Genomic DNA, 25,157 nt, shown 5'->3' with positions numbered 1-25,157 from the left:
TTTCAATTAAATAGAAGAGCAGAAATGAATAAGGAACTTCCAACACAGTGCATAGTAAGAAATGTTTTTAGCACACATACAAATGCCTTTGAGTTTAAGCCAACAGGAAAGTAACCGGTTTTCAACCACATGTGGGATCTGTAACTCTAAAGCACTGCATGAAAAGCAGCCGCAGCAACAACTAAATTGGTGTTTTCGCCTTTTGCATTGAGTCAGAAAAACATTATTAATTTTGATTTGATTTGCACGGGTGACAGTTTTACCTTCGAAATTTTCAAGTGCCTTAGTTCTTTTCTTTTATGAATTCCTGGGCCTCCTAGCAGAACACAAAGATGTCAGCTCAGCAGAGTGTGGCATTTTCTGCATGGGGCCCAGTCAGACTCCAACCAATGTCGTGGCCAGGCATTCCAAAAACTTCCAGGAACCCCAGCTCTTTCATGGACCGAAACCACCAGTTCTCTTACTGGCCATGCTCAGACAGACACTTGCATGATGACGCCGTGGTACTCTACATGAAACTTGCTGCTTCCTGCAAGCTGTGCTGAATGTATTTGTTAATAAGCTTTCCTGAAGAAACGAGCAGGGCTTTGAGCTTGATGGCCGTTCAGAAGACATTGATGCAGTTTTCTGAGGCTAGGGCCCTTGAAACTAAAAAGAGGATTGATGAGTGACTTACAGGTTTCAGAATACTCCAACATGCATCAATCAAGCACATAAAGAATCAATCATGGAGGAACCCAAAGTTTACACTATAAAAGCATTTTGCTTTGTAGATACACCACGTTGAAAGTGTTTCCTTAATTAAATAGGGACTTGATAATGGGAATGGATAGACAGGCAGAACTTTCAGCTGCTGAAGGGACACTATTTCAGCTTTTTCTGCCGTTGTTGACTCAGATAAAGCAAAGCTGAACTAAATGGAAGCAGAGCATATTTTTGAGATCTGGGAGGAGGCTACCAACAGCAGAACTTTTGCAGGCATGGCTTAGCAAACTGTACATCTGAATTTATGTGTTCCAAGAGTTGAAATATTAAGCCAGTTACGAACTGTTTACAGTTTCGGTCTAATTTATTTCATCTAATTTCTTCAATAATATTACAGCTCATGGAGCTAGACAAGAGAGTCATAAAATCACTTGATTTTGCCCCCACCTTTCAGGAGAAAGACTGTATTTCTACCCACATTTTAGAAATGAGAAAATGAGACTCAGAAAGACAATCTTTCTGCACAAAATCACATCACTAGTAAATAGTAACAGGGAAGCAAATCCAGGCCTCCTGCCTCCTGCGCCACCTTGAGAGATGACATGTGAACAGGAAGTGGGTGGGCTACCCCTACGTTAGACCCTGGAACAGGCCTGGGGGGCAACCCCGTGACCAGAAGACCTGGGGTCCTCAACCCAATGTCTTTATTGGGCAATGCGGTCTCTTTCTATCGTTCCAAGTTAAAAAAAAAAAACAACAACACTGTAGCTATTTTAAAAAGAAAGAAAGACACACAGAGAGATTTTATAATATCTATTGATTCTAGACAAGTCATCATAACTCAACATTTAAGCTCCCATTGGTGGATTTCTTAGATTACTATTTAAGGTTGACAACTGTAAGCTTAAAAACACACAGAATAAATTTTAGACATCAAGAAATGGCACCACATAAAACATTTATTGTTAAAATCATAAAGAAGTATTATAAATGTCTGCTAAGGCTACTTTGGAAATGTGTAACTTTTCCTAATTGAATCCAAACTATCATCAATCTTCTAATAACAACGTATAAATTTTCGTCTGCTTTTGTTGTGAGTCTATGGTTGCAATTCCTTCTCCTCATGGATGACTGAAATTTTTAATTTACATTAAGGTGATCTGGTAACCATGAAACTGGTTGTCTTGCTCAGTATCAAAGCTCTGCTCCAGTTAAGGCTTGGCTGGGTTAAACCTCTCACAGTATATTTAATTATAGGTTTCTTGTGGAATGATAAAGGAAGCACATAGTCACATGGCTTAAATGTCTCTAAATAAAAAGTCAAAGTGAATTCATAAGAACAATTCTCCCATGGAGCCACCTGGTTGGAATCAGCAAGAGATTTCCTGCTGTGGAAACCCCAAGGAAAGAATTACAAGATTTTAGAGATCATTTCGTGTCAGAGTTCTAACACTTAGAAATGTGCCCAAGCTATCAAAAACGGACGTAAATACAGTCCTTCCCATTCAGTGGGGAGGTTTAAAAATAAAAGATATTACCCAGGGTGCAATTTAAAAACACACCATTTTGTGGAGTTTCTATGTTTTACATTAGTAAGTGTTCCACTGTCAAAGAATTTAGAGGAATGAGGAGATTCACAAAATTGCTTAGTTATATATTACAGGGATTCATATCTTCAGTATGCTGGCCTGCACTATGAATCTCTAAGACAGAACTTTCATAAGATGCTCCTCCCAAATTTATTTGGCAATTGAATCTGTGAGTCCAGAGTATTTATGTTCATTACAACACACTGTGAAAAATGCTGGGCATCTCTGTGTAGGTCTCCTTGATAAAAGGCTATGCTTTGTTTTACTCTGGGTTAAAAGGAACGTGGACCAATAAATGATGGAACAGGAAGTCAATTGTCCATGTTGGTAGAGGCAGAAGGAGACAAATGCCTGGGCAGATAGCGAACAGTTCTTCATGAAACCCACCTTTAAGCCTGAAACAGCATGAGGGCTGAAAGACCTGACTGCTGGTCCCGGATGAAACCCCAGATCCAGAGGAAGAACTGCTTCTGTTTGCCCGCCCACTCCCAATTGATTCTTTCTGAATAATGCCTTTTAACCAATCAAATGCTGCCTTTTCTGATACTACCTACGGCTTACCTGGGCATGCCAGCATGTGCACTGGCGGAGCAGGTGGAGCCACCAGGAAATCGTGCCTTATGCTGGGGAGGAGCTCGGCCTCTTCAACTTGTGTGTGGCAACCTGGTGTTCGATTTTGTGAGGTGGAAAACCAGCATGCAGGTCCCCTCTTTTTGTTGAGAGCTTTTATTTTGCTTAATAAATTCTGCCCTCCTCACCTTTAAATGTGTCTGTGTGCCAAATTTTTCCTGGTCATGAGACAAGAACCAGGATTTTAGCTGAACTAAGGAGCAAAAAGTCCTGCATCAATGTTACCATGTGCACAAAGACACTCCTCATTTTTCTGGAACCATACAGTCTTTTTGGAGCTGCAATAATTATTAAAGGTCCCTGACAGAATGATTTAAATTATATGAATTTCAAGATAACATCCAAATACCACTGTATATTTGGCCAATTTTTGCCAAATTTCAGTCCCCATCTGTAACAAAATAATTTGATTTTGAGTGAATAAAATTTTAACAAGAAAGACATGAGCTCTAATATAAACATTTTCTCAACTCTTCCAAAGTGTTTTGGACACTCAGGAATTCCTATCGCAAGGACACTGTTGTTAGAGCTGGACTAATGCAGGGTTCCGCCTCCTAAGCCATCCCAGCATCCTAGGAAGCTCAGAGGAAAGCCAGTGCCCAAGGGCCTGGCCTGACTCAGGAGTAGGATGCTAAGGGTGAGCTCCTGTCTCCTGCTCTGCTCACTTGGTTTCGGTTGTCCTTCATCCTCCTGTTCAACCATTCTTCTCAGAGCTAAGGCCATTAACTTGTGAAGCCTCCTTAGACTTCCCCAAGCATCTGGACCTAAGATAACACAGGCAAAGCCTCTACTGTCTTGCCTGGGACAAACTTTGTCACTAGCAAATAGTAGCTGCTCTTATTTTCCTCCATGCTCTCCTGGGTTTCTCATAGCATTTGGAATTTTTGACTCTCATACTCTCCTCAATAAAATGTCTATCATCAGCAGACTTCAAAAGTGGGAAAACCCTAAGAGAAGCTAATTTGTTATAGCTAAGTCTTACATTAGATACCAAAACTGAGTAAAGGGAGATGTCACTCCTCATACAGTTTCTAAACTCAAGAGGAAAAGGAATCAGGAGTTGAGAGGACATCAGGGTACGTGCCCTCTTTGCTTCTGGAGTCTCCAGGGATAAGCTAAGGCTAACTAGGAAGCCCAGCCAGTCTGCAGAGATTCTTGCCCCTCCCATGATGATGTGGTTCGGCTGTGTCTCATCTTGAATTCCCAGGTATTGTGGGAGGAACCTGGTGGGAGGTAATGGAATCATAGGGGCAGGTCTTTCCCATGCTGTTCTCATGATAGTGAATAAGATTCATGAGATCTGATGGTCTTAAAGGGGGAGTTTCCCTGCACAAGCTTTCTTCTTCTCTTGTCTGCCACCATGTGAGAAGTGCCTTTTACCTTCCACCATAATTGTGAGGCCTCCCCAGCCATGTGGAATTGTAAGTCCATTAAACCCTTTTTCCTGTATAAATTATCCAGTATTGGATATCAGCAGCATGAAAACAGACTAATACACATGGACTCAGAGCAAGCCTGTCTTTGTGAGACCATCAGCTGGCCTGGCCACATCCCACGGGCCCTCTGCAAAGTAGACACATGCTATTCCATGGAGGCCCACAGAAAAGCAGAGCACTGGAACTGTCCAGTTAACTGCTGGTGCATAACTGGTCCCAGGAATTCCAGGGGCGGATGGCCAGCAAATGATCCCGCCACTAAACCACTGACCATCCAGTGTCTGCCACAGAAAGAACATGCTGCTAAAACTAAATTAAGACTAAAATAGGACTTCATTTTAACCTGGTTTAGTTTTTCCAGAGGTGGGGTTGCATTTAGCCACATTTTTCATCCCCACCTGCATTTTGGTGTGCACACACATGTAATAAATACTCATAATAATATGTCCACAATTTAAAAAATGAAGCATTGGGTTTTATGACTTAGTTTATCGGAGTTAATTGTTTAGAGGCAAAGAGGACATCTGGGGTGGACACATAAGCACGTGAATTTAAGGAGGAAAGTGGGGTCTGTCCAATTCAAGTGGGGGACCCCTTCTCAGACACTGAGACCCTCACATTTCTCTCAGTCACTCTTTATATCACTGCTAATTAGGCAGAAAACATCATGTTGTTTCTGCAGTGAATGTTGGCAGCCAGCCAGCCCAGCAGTGGGTTCTCCATGGCTTCTCCCACGTTTTCTGCCCAGCTGGCCTCCAGGGACCTGTAGGAGCCACACATGCTGGGAAACTCCATTTGTCTCCAGAAATGGCTGCAACAAAGTAAATAATTCAGTGATTTGTGTATGGAACTTTATATAACAATTTCCATAAAACTTCATATAACATTTTCCATATTTCCATGCCTGAGATCACTTGAGGTGAATCAAGAAAAAAATGATTTCCACTGAAAGTGTGATGTGAGTTTTAATAAACACATTCAGTAAACATCAAAAGACAGGTAAGTGTCTCAGGGAAACTCCAATTATTCCCCACGAACTCTCCAAGTAGAGAAATAAATGCCCCTTGTTGTGGTGAAATAGATTCTTGCAATATTTTTTGCTTCATCAATCATTTAGTATGATACTTTATGTCACCTGCATTTTTGACTAATGATCCTTTTTATTTTCAATTTTTGTTAATGTTACTGTAAAAGCCACATTTATTTTCACTTATGTGAGGGTGATCTGTCACAACTCACTTTTCTTTGCGTGAAGAAAAAGCACATGTCTCGAACCATTGCTTCTGTGTGTCCTTTCTCTTGGGACAAGAGAATTACCAAGAAAGCCTCACCTTGGCAGGAAGGTGTCAACAAGAGGTTGACCTGCCTCCTCTCCAGCTGCCCACCACAGCTCTCACTCCCTTCCAGAACGGTAACTTGACATTGTGTTGTTTTTATATTTGCACATCTTGGTGACATCAAGCCAGATATTGAAGGGTCTTTCTTACTAGGACTTTCCTGATGCATTGTGGTCACCATCACACAGTTGAGGAAGGGAAAGGATTAAAATGTTATGAAACTTGCCAGGGCAAAAGGTCCATGCCCCAGGGCAAATGATAGGAGAAGGCGTATTCCCCAGTGCTCAGAAGTTGTCTACATTGTGCCAAATAGTCTGGGAAAAAAATTGAAAATGCTTGCATTCGGTGGGTGCAAAACAATTAGAATTTTATAAATACTTCAATGCTTCTAAAAAGCTGAACTCTGTGATAGTTAATTCTGTCAACTTGACTGGGCTAACGAATACTCAAGATAGTTGGTAAAACATTATTTCTGGGTGTATCTGTCAGGGTTTGAGAAGAGATGAGGATTTAAATCCATGGACTGAGGTGAGGAAGACCAACCCTCAACAATGTAGATGGCATATATGTCCAATCTGTTGAGAACGCAAATATAACAAAAAGGCAGAGGAAAGGGGAATTTGTTCTCTCTGAACTGAGACAATGATCTTAGCCTGCCCTCAGACACAGGTGCTCCTGGTTCTTGGGTCTTTGAACTCAGATGTGGGCTGAAACCATCAGCCACCTGATTTTCAGGCCTCTTGATTTGCAGTAGCTTCCCCTGGTCTCCAGCCTTGCAGACAGACTGTAAAATTTCTCCCCTCCTTAACTATGTGAGCCAATATACTGTTTCTCTGGAAAATCGTGACTAATCCAGACTCCATGCCATTCTCTACAAACCATTACATGGCTACTGCTGGGTTCTTAGGTCACAGCCTTTGAAAGGCTAACTCTAGGTTATAATTCTCTCTGAATCCTTGCCAAGATTTTTTCAATTTGGTGACCTGAAACAGATCAAAGATGCAGTGCACAAACATTTTAGGGAACACATTTATCTTGGAGACCAAAAATGGCCTCCCTAACTTTTTGGCCCCTGTGAATGAACTGCTAGGACATGGTCAGGCCTCTAGCAGAGACAGATACCCTAAGTCCACAGATATTCTGGTTCTCATCTGGGATCCTTGCCTGCCTGGAAAATGTGTTAGAAAGTGAAGAGGGAATGGTTCTGATCAGACACAGCACAGACATTCTATATGCACAGGAATAAGCCAGCTAGAGGGTGGATGGTGTAGTTCTGACAGACCTTCCTGAATAGACCATAGAGGTCATAGTCAACTTGGATCTTGCTTTTTTTGACTTCCGGCAACAAAGAACTCTGCTTCCCAAGATGCTCTCTGAGATTCTAGAAACAAAGATAGTTTGTCTCCACTCTGACACTTATACAGCCTGCCTACATACACCCTCCCTTTGCTCATGAGGCATGCAGTATTGTGACCCAGATTGTGGTTTCAAGGTGGTGAACTCAGCCAGGACTCTTAGCCAGGAGGCCCAAAATCCAGGTATCAAATGATCTGCTTACTCCTGAAATATAATTCCCCAAGAAGCATTTTCTTCATATACGCACATTCTTTCTTGCCACAGTAAGCTACGGTGATTTTTCAGCCTCTGCACACCACACAGAAAGAGAAAAGCTATCCCAAACATTGCATTTTGTTTGATCTTCTTGCAAATTTGCAGCCAGATTACTGACTGGCATGGCCTTTCCTTGGCAAGCTCCCTGAGAAATGCTGGGTTGCAAGACAGCAGAGTGTGAGTCCCGGCAAGGAAGATCTGCAAACGTTGACCTTTGAGGTTGGTGTAACATTTAAACAATAAAGTTGTGTGGGAAAAAGGTGGCAGAAGGGCCAGTGGCTTCACCAGAGGCTCCAGGTTGCAGTAAATCTTCAACTTATCCTCCTCAGCCTTTCTCTTCAACCTCAAGCAGAGTTGTCTTTCATTTCCTTTGTGGCTTTCTGAGTACCATTTATACAAGGAAAGAGGGACACCCTGGACCTCAACAATCCAGGTTTTCCTCTTTTCTTGACAGTCATAAAAGTTGGCATTAGGTGCTGCCTATTTTTAGCCATCAAAAAGACATAACTCTGACCTGGGGACTCCCAAAACCAGGCATGTCACTGATTATGTCATCAAAATGGCTAAAGAGATTCCCACCACTCATGTCTCCACAAAGAAGAACGAAAATAACAAATAAGCAACTACATTTTGAGTGGTGTCTGAGAGAGAACACTGGAATTCAGCTAGGAAGTGATGAAAACCCTTTGAAGGACAGAAACTCAGGATGGCACCATAGAGAGGGAAGCGAAGTCCTCAGCTAAGATCAGCTTGGTACCAAGCGGGAATCCCCCTGATTGGAAAAGGTAAGCTGGAGATTCCCAGAACTCTCAACTACCACCATGGACACATGCAATCCTAGCCACAACAGGGCCACTCAACCCTCACAGGCTCTGAGCCCAGTGTAGAGAACTGCCTAGAGTTCACACAGCTCCATCACTCCAGGGAATGAACTAACACTTAGTCACCCCCCACTACCCAGGATCCAAGCTGCCACAGCACAATGCCATTTTTGGAACAAAACTATGGCTAGAATGCATCCTGCCCTAGGAGTTAATAGCCCCTGCATCTCCACATTTCTGAGGGCCTGACTTATTCTCACCAAACCCACACAACAGGCTATAATTACACAACCCCAGTTAGATCCAGAAGTACAACTGTGACTCTGGCACTGAAGCCCACACAGCATCCTGCACCCCCTCATCGCCCCCCAACCAAAAAAAAGCAATCAAGAACAGTGGGAAGGCCACCCCCAAGACTGAGGAAACTAACATGTGTGCTCCCCAGGGACTGAGGACTGGCCGCCCAATGCCCATCACCAGTGGTGACTCTGACGCTTCAACTGGTAAAGCCATCACACACTGCATGTGCTTCCCAGGGTCCAACTACTCACCTGACCGGGGCCCCCACTGCCAATGATCCTGCCCTGCCCCCACAACCAGTGGAGCCATCACACTTGGCATGCACTCACCCAGGGCCTGAGAACTGGCCTACCTGGTTGCCCCTTTCCCCAGCAAAGTCTTGCCTCCACAAATACCTACATTCTAGGCCACTAAAATACTCACAGACACCACTGACATTGATGATAGCCAAAGAAATTACATTGATTATAGCCAAAGAAATACATAGAGACTATATAATGTACCCACTCAGAATGAAAGCCAAAGCATGCTACCCAACCGATGCTGTAGAACACATCTCTAAGAAAAAGTCTTACCATATGGAAGCTACCCCATAAAATTGAAAGAAGTAGATGTTCCACAAGGTGTGTTGATATCAACATAGAGACTCAAGAAACATGAAAAGGCAAAAAGAAATAAAAAGCCATAGCAAAAGAAACACAATAATTCTCCAGTAAGATACTCCCAAAGAAAAGAAAATCTATGAAATGCCTGAAAACAAATTCAAAATAATAATGTTAAGGAAACTCACTAAGACACAAGAGAATACAGGTAGATGATTTAACAAAATCAGGAAATCAAATTTCTTATGTTTTGAATAAGAAATTCCATAAAGAGATAGGAACTATTAGAAAAAAATCAAACAAACCTTTGAGGTGAGGAATTCAATGAATGAAATAAAAAATACAATTGAGACCTTACAGAACAGACTAGATGAAGTAAAAGAAGACATTTCTGAGCTTGAAGACAAACTTTTTGAAATGACATAATCAGACAAAAAAAAATAAAAAAATAAAAAAGTAAAGAAACTTTTTTTTTAAATGGGACTTATGGGGCACCGTTAAGCAAACAAATACTTGCACTTTGGGAAATGGCCAAAATTCTTCTGAAGAAGAAGAGATAGAAAAAGTTATAGTAAAGATATTTAATAAAATAATATCTGAAAAATTCCCCAGTCTTGGCAGAGATATGAACAACCAGATCAAAAAAGCTGAAAATTCCCCATATATAATCCAAAAATTTTCTCTCCATGGCATGTTATAGTCAAACTGTTATAGCCAAACATGTTATAGCCAAAAGTGAAAGACGAAGAGAGAATTCTAAAAACTGCAAGAAAAAAGCATCAAGTCACATTTAAAGGAATTCTCATTAGGCTATCAGCAGATTTATCAGTAGAAGCCTTAAAGGCCAAGAGAGATTGGGTTAGTATATTAAAAGTGTAAAAACAAACAAACAAATTCTTTCAACTAAGAAGGCTATACCGAGCAAAGCTATTTTCAGAATGAATGAAAATTAGTCTTCCCAAGACAAGCAAAAACTGAGAGAAATCATCACCGCTAAACCTGTTTTGCAAGAAATGTGTAAGGAAATCATACATATGAAAGTGAAAGGATGATAACTACCATCATAAACAAAAATGAATGTATAAAACTCACTGTTAGAACAGATTTACAAATAAGAACGAGAAAAGAACCAAACCTTATCACTACAGAAAACCACGAAATGCAAAGATAAACAATAAGAGAAGAAGAAAGGAACAAATGATATGTAAAACAACCAGAAAACCAATTAAGAAAACAGCAGAAATAAGTTCTTACTTATTGATAATAAACATGAATGTAAATAAATTAAATTATCCAATTAAAAAAAATGTAGACTAGTTAAATGGATCTTTTAAAAGACCCAACTATATACTATCTATTACAAGAAACTCACACTTCACCTGTGAAAATACAGATAAACTGAAAGATAAGTGAGAAAAAAGATAGTCCATGCAAATAGAAACCTAAAGCAAGTGGGAGTCGCTGTACAGGCATATTTTGTTTTATTGCGTTTCACTTTATTGTACTTTGCAGATACTGAATTTTTAAAAAATTGAAGGTTTGTGGCAACCTTGCACTAAGCAAGTCTATTGGCCCTACTTTTCCATCAGCATGTGCTATCTTTGTTTCTTTGCATTAGCAGTATTTAGCAATAAAGTAATTTTTAATTAAGATATGTACAATGTTTTTTAGATGTAATGCTATTACACACTTAATAGATGACAGTATAGAGTAAACATAACTCTTTCATGTACTAGAAAACCAAGAAAAACTTTGGTTTGATTGTTTGATCGTGATATTCACTTTATTGCAATGTTCTGGAACTGAACCCTCAGTATCTCCAAAGTATAACTGTACTTAGACAAAGTAGATTTTAAGTCAAAGACTGTAAAAAGAGACAAAGAAGGGCATTATATAATGAAGGGATTTGTGCAAGAGGATATAACAATTGTAAATAAATATGCAAGGAACACCAGAGCACCCAGATACAAATAGCAAATATTATCAGATCTAAAGGGAGAGATATGCTCCAATACAATAATAGTTGAGGATTTCAACATTTCACTGTAAGTATTGAACAGATCATCTAGACAGAAAATTAACAAAGAAACATCCGCTTTAAGCGGCACTATATAACAAATGGACCTCACAGACATTTATAGGACATTTCATCCAACAGCTACAGAATATACATTCTCAGCAGCACACGGAACATTCTCTAGAATAGATCATGTGTTAGGCCACGAAATAAGTCTCAACCATTTTCTTAAAAATCAAAACCATGTCAACTATCTTTACGGACCACAGTGGAATAAAACGAGATATCAATAACAAAAGGAACTTTTTAAACTGGGCAAAGACACGGAAATTAAACAACAGGCTCCTCAACAACCATTGGGCCATTGAAGAAATTCAGAAAATTTGAAAGTTTTTGTAACAAATAAAAGTAGAAACAAAACATACCAAAACCTATAAGATAAAGCAAAAGCAGTACTTAGAGAGAAGTTTATAGCAATAAATGCCTACATCAAAAAGTAAAGATTTCAGATATATGACCTAATGGTGCACCTCAAGGAACTAGAAAAGCAAGAAGAAACTAAACCCAAAATTAGTATAAGAAAAAAATAATAAAGACCAGGGTAGAAATAAACAGAATTAAGTCTCAAACATGCAAAATAACAAATACAATAAAAAGTGTTTTTTACATAGACAAAATTGACAAACCATTAGCTAGACTAAGAAGAAAGGAGAAAAGAACCAAATAAAATCAGAAACAAAAAAGCAGATATTGCAACTAATACCACAGAAAGACAAAGGCTCATCAGAGACTATTATAAACAATTATATGCCAACAAATTAGAACACCTAGAGAAAATGAATAAATTCTTGGACACATATAGGCTATCAAGATTGAACCCAGAAGAAACAGAAAACCTAAACAAACCAACAGTAAGTTATGAGATTGAATCAATAATACAATGTCTCCCAACAAAGAAAAACCAAGTACCCGATGGCTTCACAATTGAATACTACCAAACTTTTAAAGAAGAACTAACACCAATTCTTCTCTAACTATTCCAAGTATTTGAAGGGAAGAAAATTCTGCCAAACTCATTCTGTGAGGCCAGAATTACCCTGACACAAAAACCACACAAAGACAAACACACACACAAACTATAGGCCAATATTCCTGATGAACATAGATAGAAAAGCTCTCAACAAAATACCAGGAAAGTGAATCCAACAACACATCAAAAAGATCATACACTATGATCAAGAAGTTATCCTAGCAATGTAAATATGCAAATCAACATATGCAAATCAATACATGTGCTACATCACATCAACAGAATGAAGGGTAAGAATTATATGATCATCTTAATTGATGAAGAAAAAAGATTTGATAACATTCAACATTCTTCATAATAAAAACTCTCAGCAAACTAGACACAGAAGGAATATACTTCAACATGATAAAAACCATACATGACAAGTCCACAGCTAACATCATGCTGAATAGGAAAAAGTTGAAAACTTTTTGTCTAAGAACTGAAACAATACAAGGATGTCCACTTTCATCACTGTTATTAAACATAGTACTCTCCTGGCCAGAGCAATTTGACAAGAGACAGAAATAAAGGCCATCCAGACTGAAAAGGAGGAAGCCAAATTGTTTCTCTTTGCAGATGGCATGATCTGACATATAGAAAGAACCTAAAGATTCCATCAAGAAACTCTTAGAACTAATAAACAAATTTGGTAAAGTTGCAGGACACAAAATCAATGTGCAAACATTAGTAGCATTTCTATATACCAATAATAAACTGCCAAAAAAGAAGTCATGAAAGCAATCTCATTTACAATAGCTACGAAAAAGATATCTAGGAATAAATTTAACCATGGAAGTGGAAGATCTTTAAAATAATAACTATGAAAGAAATGCTGGTGAAAGAAATAGATGAGTACACAAAAATAGGAGGTCTCATGTTTGTGTATTAAAAATTAACATTGTTAAAAAGATTATACTATCCAAAGCAATCTACAGATTCAGTGCAATCCTTATCAAAATACCAATGGCATGCTTCACATAAATAGAAAAAAATTTTAAATTTATCTGGACTCACAAAAGACCCTGAATAGCTAAAGCATTTCTGAGCGATGAGGAAAATTTAAAAGTTTTCTGAAACAAATGGAAATAGAAACAAAACATACCAAAACCTATGAAATACAGCAAAAAGCAGTACTTTTCAAAGTTTATAGCAATAAACACCTACATCAAAAAGTAAAGATTTTAATATACAACCTAATAGTACACCTCAAGGAACTAGAAAAGCAAGAAGAAACTAAACCCAAAATTAGTAGAAGAAAAGAAATAATGAAGATGAGAATAAAGGTCAGAGGTGGAGATATCACACTACACGACTTCAAAATATATTACAAATTATAGTACCCCAAACAGCATGGTACTGGCATAAAAACAGACACAAATTATAGCACCCAAAACAGCATGGTACTGGCATAAAAGCAGACACACAGACCAATTGAACAAAATAGAGCACTGAGAAATAAATTCACATATTTACAGCCGACAGATTTTCAACAAATATTCCAACAAGACACGCTGGGGGAAAGAACAATAACTTCAATAAATGGTACTGAGAATATTGGATATCGATATGCAAAAGAACAAAAATAAGCCACTAACTCTCACCATATATAAGAATTAACTCAAAATGGATAAAAGACTTAAATGAAAGACCCAAAACTACAAAACTACTAGAAGAAAACATAGGTAACACACAAGACACTGAACACTGGTCTGGGCAAAGATCTCATGGAAAAGACCTCAATAGCACAGAAAATAAGAGCAAAACATAAACAAATGGGATTATATAAAACTAAGAATCTTCTGCACAGCAAACAATCAATAGAGTGAAAAGACAACCTGCAGAATGAGAAAAAATATTTGCAAACTATTCATCCAACAAAGGATTAATATCTAGAAAATACATGAAATTCAACCAACTTAAGAGAAACCAGAGCCAAATAATCCAATTTAAAATGGGCAACTAATCAAGAATCTCTAAAAAGAAGACACACAAATGGCCAAAAAAGTATATTTTAAAAATGCTCAACATCACTAATCATCAGGAAAATGCAAATCAAAATCATAAGGAGATATAATTTCACCCCAGTTAGAATGGCTATTATAAAAAAGACAAACAATAACAAATGCTGGTGAGGATGTAAAGTGGGACCCTTGTACAGCATTGATGAGAATGTTGATTAGTGAAGCCTTATGAAAAACAGTATTGAGTTTCCTCAAAAAAACTAAATATGAAACTTCTATATGATCCAGCAATCCCACTGCTGGGACTTGAAGAAAAGGAAATCAGTATGTCAAAGACGTATCTGCATTTCCATATTTATTGCAGCACTATTCACAATAGTCAAGATATTAAATCAACCTAAATGTCTATCAGTGAATGAATGGCTAGAGAAAATGTGGTATATATACACAATGGAATACTATTCAGCCATAAAAAAGATGAATTCCTGTCATTCACAGCAACATGGATAAGCCTAGAAGACATTATGCGAAGTGAAAGACGCCAGGTATAGAAAGACAAATACTGCATGTTCTCACTCATGTGTATAAGCTTACAAAGTTGCTCTCTTATAGAAACAGACAGTAGAATAGTGGTTACTATAGGCTGGGAAAGGTAGTGGGAAGGGGGGAAAGGTAGTGGGAAGGGGAGATAGGGAGGGATTTGAAAGGAATACAAAAATCATGGCTAGACAGGAGGAATAAATTCTAGCGTTCTTTAGCACAGCAGGGTGACTATGGTCAACAGTGATTTGTTGTGTGTTTTTAAATAGCTAGAAAAAGGATTTTGAAAGTTCCCAACACAAAGAAATAATAAATTTTTGAGGTGATGGCTATGCTAATTACCATGATTTCATTATTACACATTGTTTACACATATATAAATATCACATTGTGTCTCGTGCGTATAATTATGATATGTCAACTAAAAAAATCATGAACAAGTCACAATAGCATCACGTTGACCCAGGAACCACAGTGTCAAAGCACCAGTAATTTATGCCTGTGATTGGAAGAGGTTCACCTTGAGTCATGTGAACTTCCCTGTCCTTCCGTTTCACCCTGGACCACATAGTGAGGTGCAAAGATTCTGGGGTGCTGTTTTGAAAGCAGGGTTTAAACACTGCAGTTAAACTTCAGATTTTAACCTTCTGAATTATTTGGTAGGTGAGTCATTATCTTTCACAGACAGAGCCGCATCATAACGGTGTAGTTCTCTTTCCAGGCCTGCTTTGGTGGAACTGTGGCTGTCCAGATGACCTGGTCAAGAACACCAGCCTCCTGCAATCCTGTTTCTTGAGACTCTCAATAATGGAGAAGTTTCCAGCAAAGCATGCTTCTATTCAAGTTTGTCCAACCTGTGGCCCATGGGCTGCATGCAGCCCAGGACAACTTTGTGGCCCAACACAAACTCATAAACTTTTTAAAAACATTATGAGATTTTTTTTTGAGATTCTTTTTTTAGCTCATTCATCAGCTATCGTCAGTGTTAGTGTATTTTATGTGTGATCAAAGACAATTCTTCTTTTTTCAAGGCGGCACAGGGAAGCCAAAAAATTGGACGTCCCTGTTCTAGATGAAGCATCCTTCTTAGAGAGAAATGTTTTCGCCTTCTCTGGAAGTTGGAAGAGCGCCCCAAATCACAAGCAGGAAGTACCTTCGAAGCCGACTGTTCAAGGGACCTTCTCTAGAGGTGGAATCCTCCCTTGGCCAGCTAAAGATGACTTCTCCTTCTGGGCAACCTCAAAAGAATACAAATGACGGAGACTGCCACATACTCTTCCATAGGCAACCAACCCTTCTCAACTAATGTACAGACCAAGGCAAATGAATGTACTCCCAATTACCTGCGCCCCCGTTCACTGCTGTTTTCACCCTCCTTTGATTACTGGAAACACTAAGCATACCTACAGAGAAAGCAGAAATGGCACTGGGCATGGCGGCTCACCCCTGTAGTCCTGGCACTTTGGGAGCCCGAGGCGGGTAGATTGCTTGAGATCAGGAGTTCGAGACCAGCCTGGCCAACATGGCAAAACCCTATCTCTACTAAAAATACTAAACTTAGCTGAGCGTGGTGGTGCATGCCTGTAATCTCAGCTATGTCAGGAGGCTGAGGCATGAGAATCGCTTGAACTCAGGAGGCAGAGGTCACAATGAGCCAAGATTGTGCCACTGCACTCTAGCCTGGGTGACAGAGTGAGACTGTCTCAAAAAAAAAAAAAAAAAAAAGGAAAAAAAAAGTGGAAATGGGAGAGAAACGAGACATGAGACTCTGCTATAAGGCTGACTTGAAGGTGATTAGGTCAGGACCAATGGGGAGCAGTGTCCCAGGTCACTAGGGGTCAGCGAAGACATGACTAGGAATCAGGAATGCCTGGGCTGGCACAGGGTATGCTCAATCTCACATCCTATTGGAACGGGCCCAACTTCCTGGCCCATTGATAGTCCAGGCAGTGGGGCTGGGACACTGGAGGTCCATACCTCATCATGCTTCAGATGCTCATTCTTGCTTTTAATTCCCAGATGCAGATCCCATTTCTGCAAAAATGCTCAACCCACATTTCTGTCATGTTGGATTCTGGGCATTTTATGGCGACAGGCCAGAAACAGGGTACAGCCTGCATTGTGTCAACACACAAATCCTGCTGAGGCCAAAGCCCTCTTCACGCAGCCAGGGATCCAGAAGGCCCTGCTCTGAGCCTGGGCCCAAGGTGCGATGTGGATGCTCACACGCCCTGGGCCCTGCAGACAGAAAGCCCCTGATGACCAACAGTCTCTGCCCTTCCACAACAGGCGTCCAGGCAGTGCCAGCCCCTCCTGCGCTGAAGAAAGAATCCACAAAGATGACAAAAGCAACTCCATCCCACCCCTTAGAATTCGAGGTCGACCCTGGAATCTCTCCTAGAGACAAATTGTTTTAACAAGGTGGAAAAAGAATTAAAACATGACGTTCCATATGTTTTCCAATTGCTTTCCTGATCCACATCATAAATAGCATTCGTTGAAAGTTGCTGCTTTTTATTACACAGAAGATGAAGACTCAGCAGGAATTGTGGCCATGTTATCAAAGTTGTGAATACTTAAGTCAGATAGTATGTTAAAGGGAGCCTGAATATTTCTTTATATGCATGAGCTCATTTTTCTGGAAAGCCCACCTTTGTGGCAAGACGTGAAGCAAAGGCATTGTGAACAGGGGCCCACCACAGGATTTCAGATGAGAAAAGAGTTGTCCCACATAATCCCCAGGTCCTGAATGTGGACTCCTCTGCAGCCCAGTGTCTGTTAGCCTCACCGATAGCTCATGTCATTGCATTGTCAGAGTGTTCCCAGTGAAAGGCACACCAGGGTGAAATGCACCTCTATCCTGAAGACGCCAAATGGGCTGAGCGGCTTTCATTCTACCCTGTGCTTTCATGGATTTCCAATATTCAGGAAAGCTTATAAATAAATGAACCAGAGAGGAAAGCAAAACCTTCCTCATCTCCTCGTTCTCCTTGTCTAACAGTAGAGAATCCTAATACTATTTTTCCTTCCCTACCCCTCTCAAGACATGCCATCATTGTCCACAGGACAGCAAGGACATCAGTGATAACAGGCATCCCCTAAAATAAAAATCCTTTCAGGGAAAAATGGGCTGGAGCTACCATTCTACTTTATTTACTGAGCTCTGAGTTTCAACAACGTTATTCTTTAGTACTTGAGGAAGGAATACACTCTCACCCTTAAAACGCTGTAAGTAGTCGATAATCCATTATTACAGTAAGCCGTTCACTCTCACAGTAATTATCTAATAACCCCTTATAAAGGACCGTGGCTTCCTAATCTGTTTATAATTATCATTTCAATGATCCCACACATTAATGTCTGACCTTCACCAACTCTGACCCGATCTTAATTAGCTCTGATATCAAATCATCACTACATAAGAAACTAGCCATGACCAAATGAATGAACCCCAGGTACAGTTAATTTCTGGAGCAATTATCTTTTCATGTAGAGAGATTTAAATGATTATCTGCACAATTTCACACAGTTTTATGTAATTCTGCGACATTATAAATTCTGTTTTAAATCATATTTCAAAGGCAGGGCTCCACAGTCTGGTTTTTCTAGTGTTCTAAAGTACTTGCTGTCCCCGTGTAATGTGGGATGATTTTGTGTCATTATTTACAATGATAAACAAATATCAAAAACACAGCTTACAAAGTGATATATTATTATAATAAATATGTAACGATGTGGGCAGGTAGTCTTAGAGCAAATATCCAGGTTAAATCATTAAAGAAAATACACATTATACAGAAACATTGAAAGAAATTAATAATATAAATATATGCTGTACAGACTAGAAAGCCTATATAGTGTGTGTTCATATGTGTCATGTGTTCGCTAAGCATGGCAGGCTGGAAAGCATTTATCATCTTAATAAAGCCTGCAGAGGATGCTGCAAAGGCAGATCAACCTGCAGTTGAACTTGATTTTAAACCTGAGAAACATAGGTACATTCTTGTGTTTGCAGACATCTGACTTCCTGAGCGAAGTTTGTGTTACAGTAGCTTCCCAACGTGGGATTCATTTTCACAGATGTCCACTGGGCTTTTGGGGGTAAATATGCAAACACAAGGGCAACACTGCAGAAATATTGTGTGTATATAGCCAGGCCTTGAGAAAAGATGAAGTTAGAACATGTTTGTTTAATGTTGTCTCTGGTGTCAAAAATTAGGGGAAACTTGAGCAAAGTGAAGTATTTCAACAGGAGTATTTACTGTTTCTTAGCCCTGGAACAATTTATCAAGCTTGCCCATGAAACCTTCCTAGTCAAAGATTTTGCAATTGCTAACGTTTCATCCCACAAACCGAAACACTGGTTGAATGTCCAATCTTCCACCCTTGGAGATGCCACAGAGCAGAGGTTCCTCTCAGCGCTGTAAGGGTCACCGAGGTTACCTGAATGAGCACTCACTTCCTGACCACATCTTCTGCTCTTACTCACAGTTACTATTTGTAGAAATGGCAAGAATGTGCCCTACAGGTTTTATATCAAATTGCTTAACAAAGTTCGAAGTTCATTTCTCATAAATTACGTATTATACAGGATGGTCTGATCAGTATTTTAAATGATAGTGTCCTCTAAGTTGGTTGAAATTAAAACATCTGCCCACAGGCAATAGGTAACTGTACTAAAAAATGCATTCCAGGAGCTGACAACCTTTATCGGAGCTTCCTGGGAATGAAGGAAGGGGGCTGGCACAGCCAATTTATCATTGGTGCCAACAGCGGATTGGTAGCCCGTCACCTGGAGACCAGCACTGATGGCCCCCAGTCAGGGAGCATTCCTGGAAGGTCAAACTCTCCCTGTATCTGAGCCCCCACCCCAGAACCCAACAGAGCTCAAGCTCAGCAGTGAACTTCACCCAGAATCCAACAGAGCTCAAGCTCAGCAGTGAACTTCGACGAAGGCCCTCTCAGAACCTTCCCATAGTGCTTCATCCTATATGTCCATCTTGGCAATGCCATCTGGTTGCTTTTGTGATGGAAATATTTTAAATATATGAAGATAGCAGGCATTGCAAGAGATAAAATCATTAAATACTTTCAAATCTTTACATAGTTCTCATTCTGACACCTGCCAGTTCTAAGACAGGCTTAGAAATGAGTGCACCCCTGGCATAAGGAGTCATGCCATGTGTGTAAGACCCAGGAGCCCAATATTATTCCCCACTGCTTTCCCGTCCTTCAGAAAATGCTTGAGGTCTTTGGCGTCTGTGCCTCCTTTTGGCTGCTGAGTTGAGAGTTTGAGGGCCTTTACGCCAGTTACTTCTCTCCTTCAAAGAAAACCCTTGGGCCCACACGCTCTCTTCTTTAATCATTAAGCTCCTGGAGCCAGCTATCCTGTCACATGTAGGGTTTGACATTTGGTTTTAATTTTTTACGTTATATTTGTGATTTAATAAAAGCCTCTCTGATAGAAAGTCTGTCATTTCCTACCACCAAAGACAACTACTCTAGGCACTGGTGTTCCTATGAGGCCTGGGACGCAGCCAATGATTCCTCACCTGCCCTCTTGAGAGGGGTTTGTGGTGACAAGTCCACATTTATTTTTAAGGGGAAAATTGGTGTAAGAAATTTGTTTTAGGTACAGCCCCTGACTCTGCCTCTTTTGGTTGAGTCATCTTGCAAAACTACTGCCACCACACTCCTGTTTTTCTGTTGACTTTCTAATTCATTTGACTACAATCAGGTAGCTTGTATTAGCCCAGCCCTCCAATCAAGGACTAGCATAAAGGTAGGAAAATTTCTTTTTAAATAAATAAAAGGGAAGAAAGAAGGAAGACTGTTTGAAAACATGGGAAATTCAGCCAGGATTTTGGAGGCCAATATCCTGAAAATAAATGTTGTATCATTGAACAAATATATAATTTATAAAATTATAAATTTAGAAGATGTGTTTAAAGTAAAATGAATATGCAATTAAAGACGATTTATTAACTGGAAGATTGGTCAGTAGAAAACATCTAGGTTAAAGCAAGAAAAAGTACAGAAAAAAATTAAGATAAATATGCGGCATAGTGTAAAAGTAAAAGGTACCTGTAATTAGAATCCAGAAGGAAAGGTAAGGAAGAATTTGCCGAAGTGTTCAAAAAATATTTTAACTGAGAATGTTCCAAAACTGGCAAAAGATCCCCTGCTAAGGATCCGTGAAGCTGCACACATCTCAAACAGGATAAACGAGGAAAACCCCACTAAAAATAAGCAAAGGAAGGAGACTTATGGACATCACAGTAGTACTTCTAAAAATCAAATGTAGGGAGGAACTCTTAAACCCGGACAGGTAGACTGACATATTTCCTTCAAAAGAGACAGCATTTGGACTCAGCTGAGTTCTCCGTAGAACCAGTGGAAACGAAAATGAAATGCAATGATGTCTTACATGAGCCGAGACAATAGAAACCTTAACACTGTCACAGTATCAGTCTCTAACTAAGAAAAATATTGAGAATGAGGAGTCTTCAGGAAGGAAGGTCAAAGACATCATCAAACAAATAAAATGGGAGAAAATCATTTAGTGACAGAGTCACGCTAAGGGCAATATTGAAGGATGTTTTTACACAAATAGTTACTGCTTAAAACAATCAATCTATCTAGGTGGTTTAAAATATATGTAGAATTTAAGTATTGTACAACAGCAGCATAAAAGGTATGCATGTTGAGGAGGTGGGATAGTGTAAATGGAGTTGTACTGTTGGAAGACCTGGTATTATAACAAAATTAGAGGTTTCATTTAAAGTTGATATTAATAACTAAAGAATACATGTTTTCATTTCAAACCCAGAGCCAATATCATACTGAATGGGCAAAAGCAGGAAGCATTCCCTTTGAAAACCTGCACAAGACAAGGATGCTCTCTCTCACACTCCTATTCAATGTAGTATTGGAAGTTCTGGCCAGGGCAATTAGGAAAGAGAAAGAAATAAAGCATATTCAAATAGGAAGAGAGGAAGTCAAATTGTCTCTGTTTGCAGATGACATGATTGTATATTTAGAAAACCCCATTGTCTCAGCCCCAAAACTCCTTAAGCTGATAAGCAACTTCAGCAAAGTCTCAGGATACAAAATCAATGTGCAAAAATCACAAGCATTCCTATACACTAATAACAGGTAAACACAGATCTAAATAATGAATGAACTCCATTCACAGTTGCTACAAAGAGAATAAAATACCTAGGAATACAACTTACAAGGGATTTGAATGACCTCTTCAGGGAGAACTACAAACCACTGCTCACGGAAATAAGAGAGGACACAAACAAATGGAAAGACATTCCATGCTCATGGATAGGAAGAATCAATATCTTGAAAATGGCCATATTCCACAAAGTTATTTATAGATTCAATGCTATTCCCAACAAGCTGCCATTGACTTTCTTCACAGAATTAGAGAAAACTACTTTAAATTTCATATGGAATCAAAAAAGGACCCATATAACCAAGACAATCCTAAGCAAAAGAACGAAGCTGGAGGCATCTCACTACCTGATTTAAACTATACTACAAGGCTACAGTAACCAAAACAGCATGGTATTGGTGCCAAAACAGATATGTATATCAACGGAACAGACCAGAGGCCTCAGAAATAACACCACACGTTTACAACAAACTGATCTTTGACAAACCTGACAAAAACAAGCAATGGGGAAAGGATTCCTTATTTAATAAATGGTGTCGGGAAGACTGACTAGCCATATGCAGAAAACTGAAGCTGGACCCCTTCCTTACAGCTTGTTCAAAAATTAACTCAAGATGGATTAAAGACAAAAACATAAGACCTAAAACCATAAAAACCCTAGAAGAGATCCTAGGCAATACCATTCAGGACACAGGCATGAGCAAAGACTTCATGACTAAAACACCAATAGCAATGGCAACAAAAGTGAAAATTGACAAATGGGATATAATTACATTTAAAGAGCTTCTGCACAGCAAAAGCAACTATTGTCAGTGTGAACAGGAAACCTAGAGAATGGGAGAAAATTGTTGCAACCTACCCATCTGACAAAGGTCTAATATCTAGAATCTATAAGGAACTTAAACAAATTTATAAGAAAAAAGCACACAACCCCACCAAAAAGTGGGCAAAGGATATGAACAAACACTTCTCAGAAGAAGACATATATACGGCCAACAAACATATTAAAAAAAAGCTCATCATCACTGGTCATTAGAGAAATGCACATCAAAACCACAGTGAGATATCATCTCATGCCAATTAGAATGGCGGTCATTAAAAAGTCAGGGAACAACAGATGCTGGAGAAGTTGTGTAAAAATAGGAATGCTTTTACACTGTTAGTGGGAGTGTAAATTAGTTCAACCATTGTGGAAGACAGTCTGGCAATTCCTCAAGGATCTGGAACCAGAAATACCATTTGACTCAGCAATTCTACTACTCGGTAGATACCCAAAGAATTATAAATCATTCTACTATAAAGACACATGCACATGTATGTTTATTGAAGCACTATTTATAATAGCAAAGGCTTGGAACCAACCCAAATGTCCATCAGTGATAGACTGTATAATGAAAATGTGGCACATATACACCATGGAATACTATGCAGCCATAAAAAAGAATGAGTTCATGTCCTTTACAGGGACATGGATGAAGCTGGAAACCATCATTCTCAGCAAACTAACAGGAACAGAAAACCAAACACCACATGTTCTCATTCATAAGTAGGAGCTGAACAATGAGAACACATGGACACAGGGAGGGGAACATCACATACTGGGGCCTGTCAGAGGGTTGGGGGCAAAGGGAGGAATAGCATTAGGACAAACACGTAATGTATGTGGGGCTTAAAACCTAAACGACGGGTTGATGGGTGCAGCAAACCACCACAGCATATGTATACCTGTGTAACAAACCTGCACGTTCTGCACATGTATCCCAAAACTTAGAGTATAATTAAAGAGATTAAAAATAATACGTGTCATTTGTGAGTTCAACAATAATATTAAATGCTATGTAATTAACAAGTAAATAGGGGGAAATGAAAAAAAATTTAAGTACCTAATTGGTTAAAAAAAAAGTCATGATGAAGGAAAAAAAAACAAAACATATTAAATGTAAATGAGTCAAATATTTCCGTTTTTAAATTAATGACCAGGCTGAATTTAAAAAAACAAATGTAAGCTCCCATAAAGACATATCTTTCATTACAAGTATTACATTTGAAAGCAAAAGGATGGGAAAATATATACCATGCAACAAATAAGCAGAAAAAAGCTGGTGTAAATATTTGAATAACATGCAAAATAGGGTTTAAACTCATTTATGCCAAGTGTTTCATTATTGGAACGCTAAGCATGTGGGAGTTATTTATCTCCTGCTGCTCAAGATCATTGCCTAGGTCTGATTTTTCAAATTCAAAAAGTTGCCACCTCAGGTATAAATGAGTTAAGACTAAAAGCATAACGAGACATAAAGGTATTTTATAATGATGAAGTAGTCAATTCAACAGATAGATATAATTCCTAACTGGTTCTACTAATTACTGAGAGAGTTGTGTTAAAATCTTTATCTATGAATGTAGATTTTCCTTTTTGTTTATTTAGTATCACAATTTTTCTTCATGAAATTTGAGTCTTTAAATAGTAAGGATTTAGAAGATTAGATGATTTTCAAAATTGATAGAATAGATATATTCAACTCAAGAACACAGGATATGCATTCTTTTCTAACACACACAAAATGTTTGTCATTTTGTAGAACTAAATTGATTGAGAGCTTGTATTCTGACCATGGTAAAATTAAGGTATAAATTAATTTGAGAAGATAAGTCTCCAAGTATTTGGGAACTGAACAAAACATTTTAAAATATTCATTGAGCCAAAAAAGAAATTGATGAAAACTAGAAATCATTTTAACTAAATGATAATTACCTAATCAGAAATGATACAGCTGAAGCTATAATTAGAGGGCAATTCACATCTGAATCCTAAGTAAATTAATGTAGGAATAGAAAAGCAAATGCAGGATGTTCTCATTAAGTGGGAGCTAACCATGGAGTGCTCATGGAAGTAAAGATGACAACAGTAGGCACTAAGGACTATTAGATGGGGGAGGGAGGGAGCTGGGCTAGGGTTGAAGAACTCCTGAGTACCATAATCCTTACCTGGTTGTTGGGATCTTTCCTACCTCGAACCTCGGCATCTTGCAATATACCCATGTAACAAACCTGCAAACATACCCTGCAATCCAAAATAAAAGCATACACTTTATTTTTTTTAGTTCAATAGTGTTTGGGGAGCAGGTGCTGTTTGGTTACATGGATAAGTTCTTTAACGGTGATTTCTGAGAATTTGGTGCACCTGTCACCCGAGCAGTGTACACTGTACCCAATGTAAAAGTATATGCTTTTAAAACTAAAGCAACATCAAAGAAAAAGAAAAGTAGAATAACTAAGAATTAATCATCCAAATCAAGAAGCTGCTATTGTTGGAGTGTAAGCTAAATTTTTATTGACTTTTGAAGAAATTG

General features: G+C 39.0%; 1 long non-coding RNA gene across 1 annotated transcript; it reads right to left on the bottom strand.

Moving 5' to 3' along the window:
• Positions 1–48: 48 nt before the first annotated feature.
• LOC107984098 (uncharacterized) lies at positions 49–24,868 on the bottom strand. Its single transcript, XR_001742553.2, has 2 exons — positions 24,793–24,868; positions 49–648 (listed from the first exon to the last, which is right to left on the bottom strand). It is a non-coding gene; the product is annotated as an uncharacterized LOC107984098 (long non-coding RNA).
• Positions 24,869–25,157: the final 289 nt, after the last annotated feature.

The sequence above is a fragment of the Homo sapiens genome, chromosome 5 (genome assembly GCF_000001405.40).
Source record: "Homo sapiens chromosome 5, GRCh38.p14 Primary Assembly".
Taxonomy (NCBI): Eukaryota; Metazoa; Chordata; class Mammalia; order Primates; family Hominidae; genus Homo; species Homo sapiens.
This window is presented reverse-complemented; position numbering and strand designations above follow the sequence as displayed.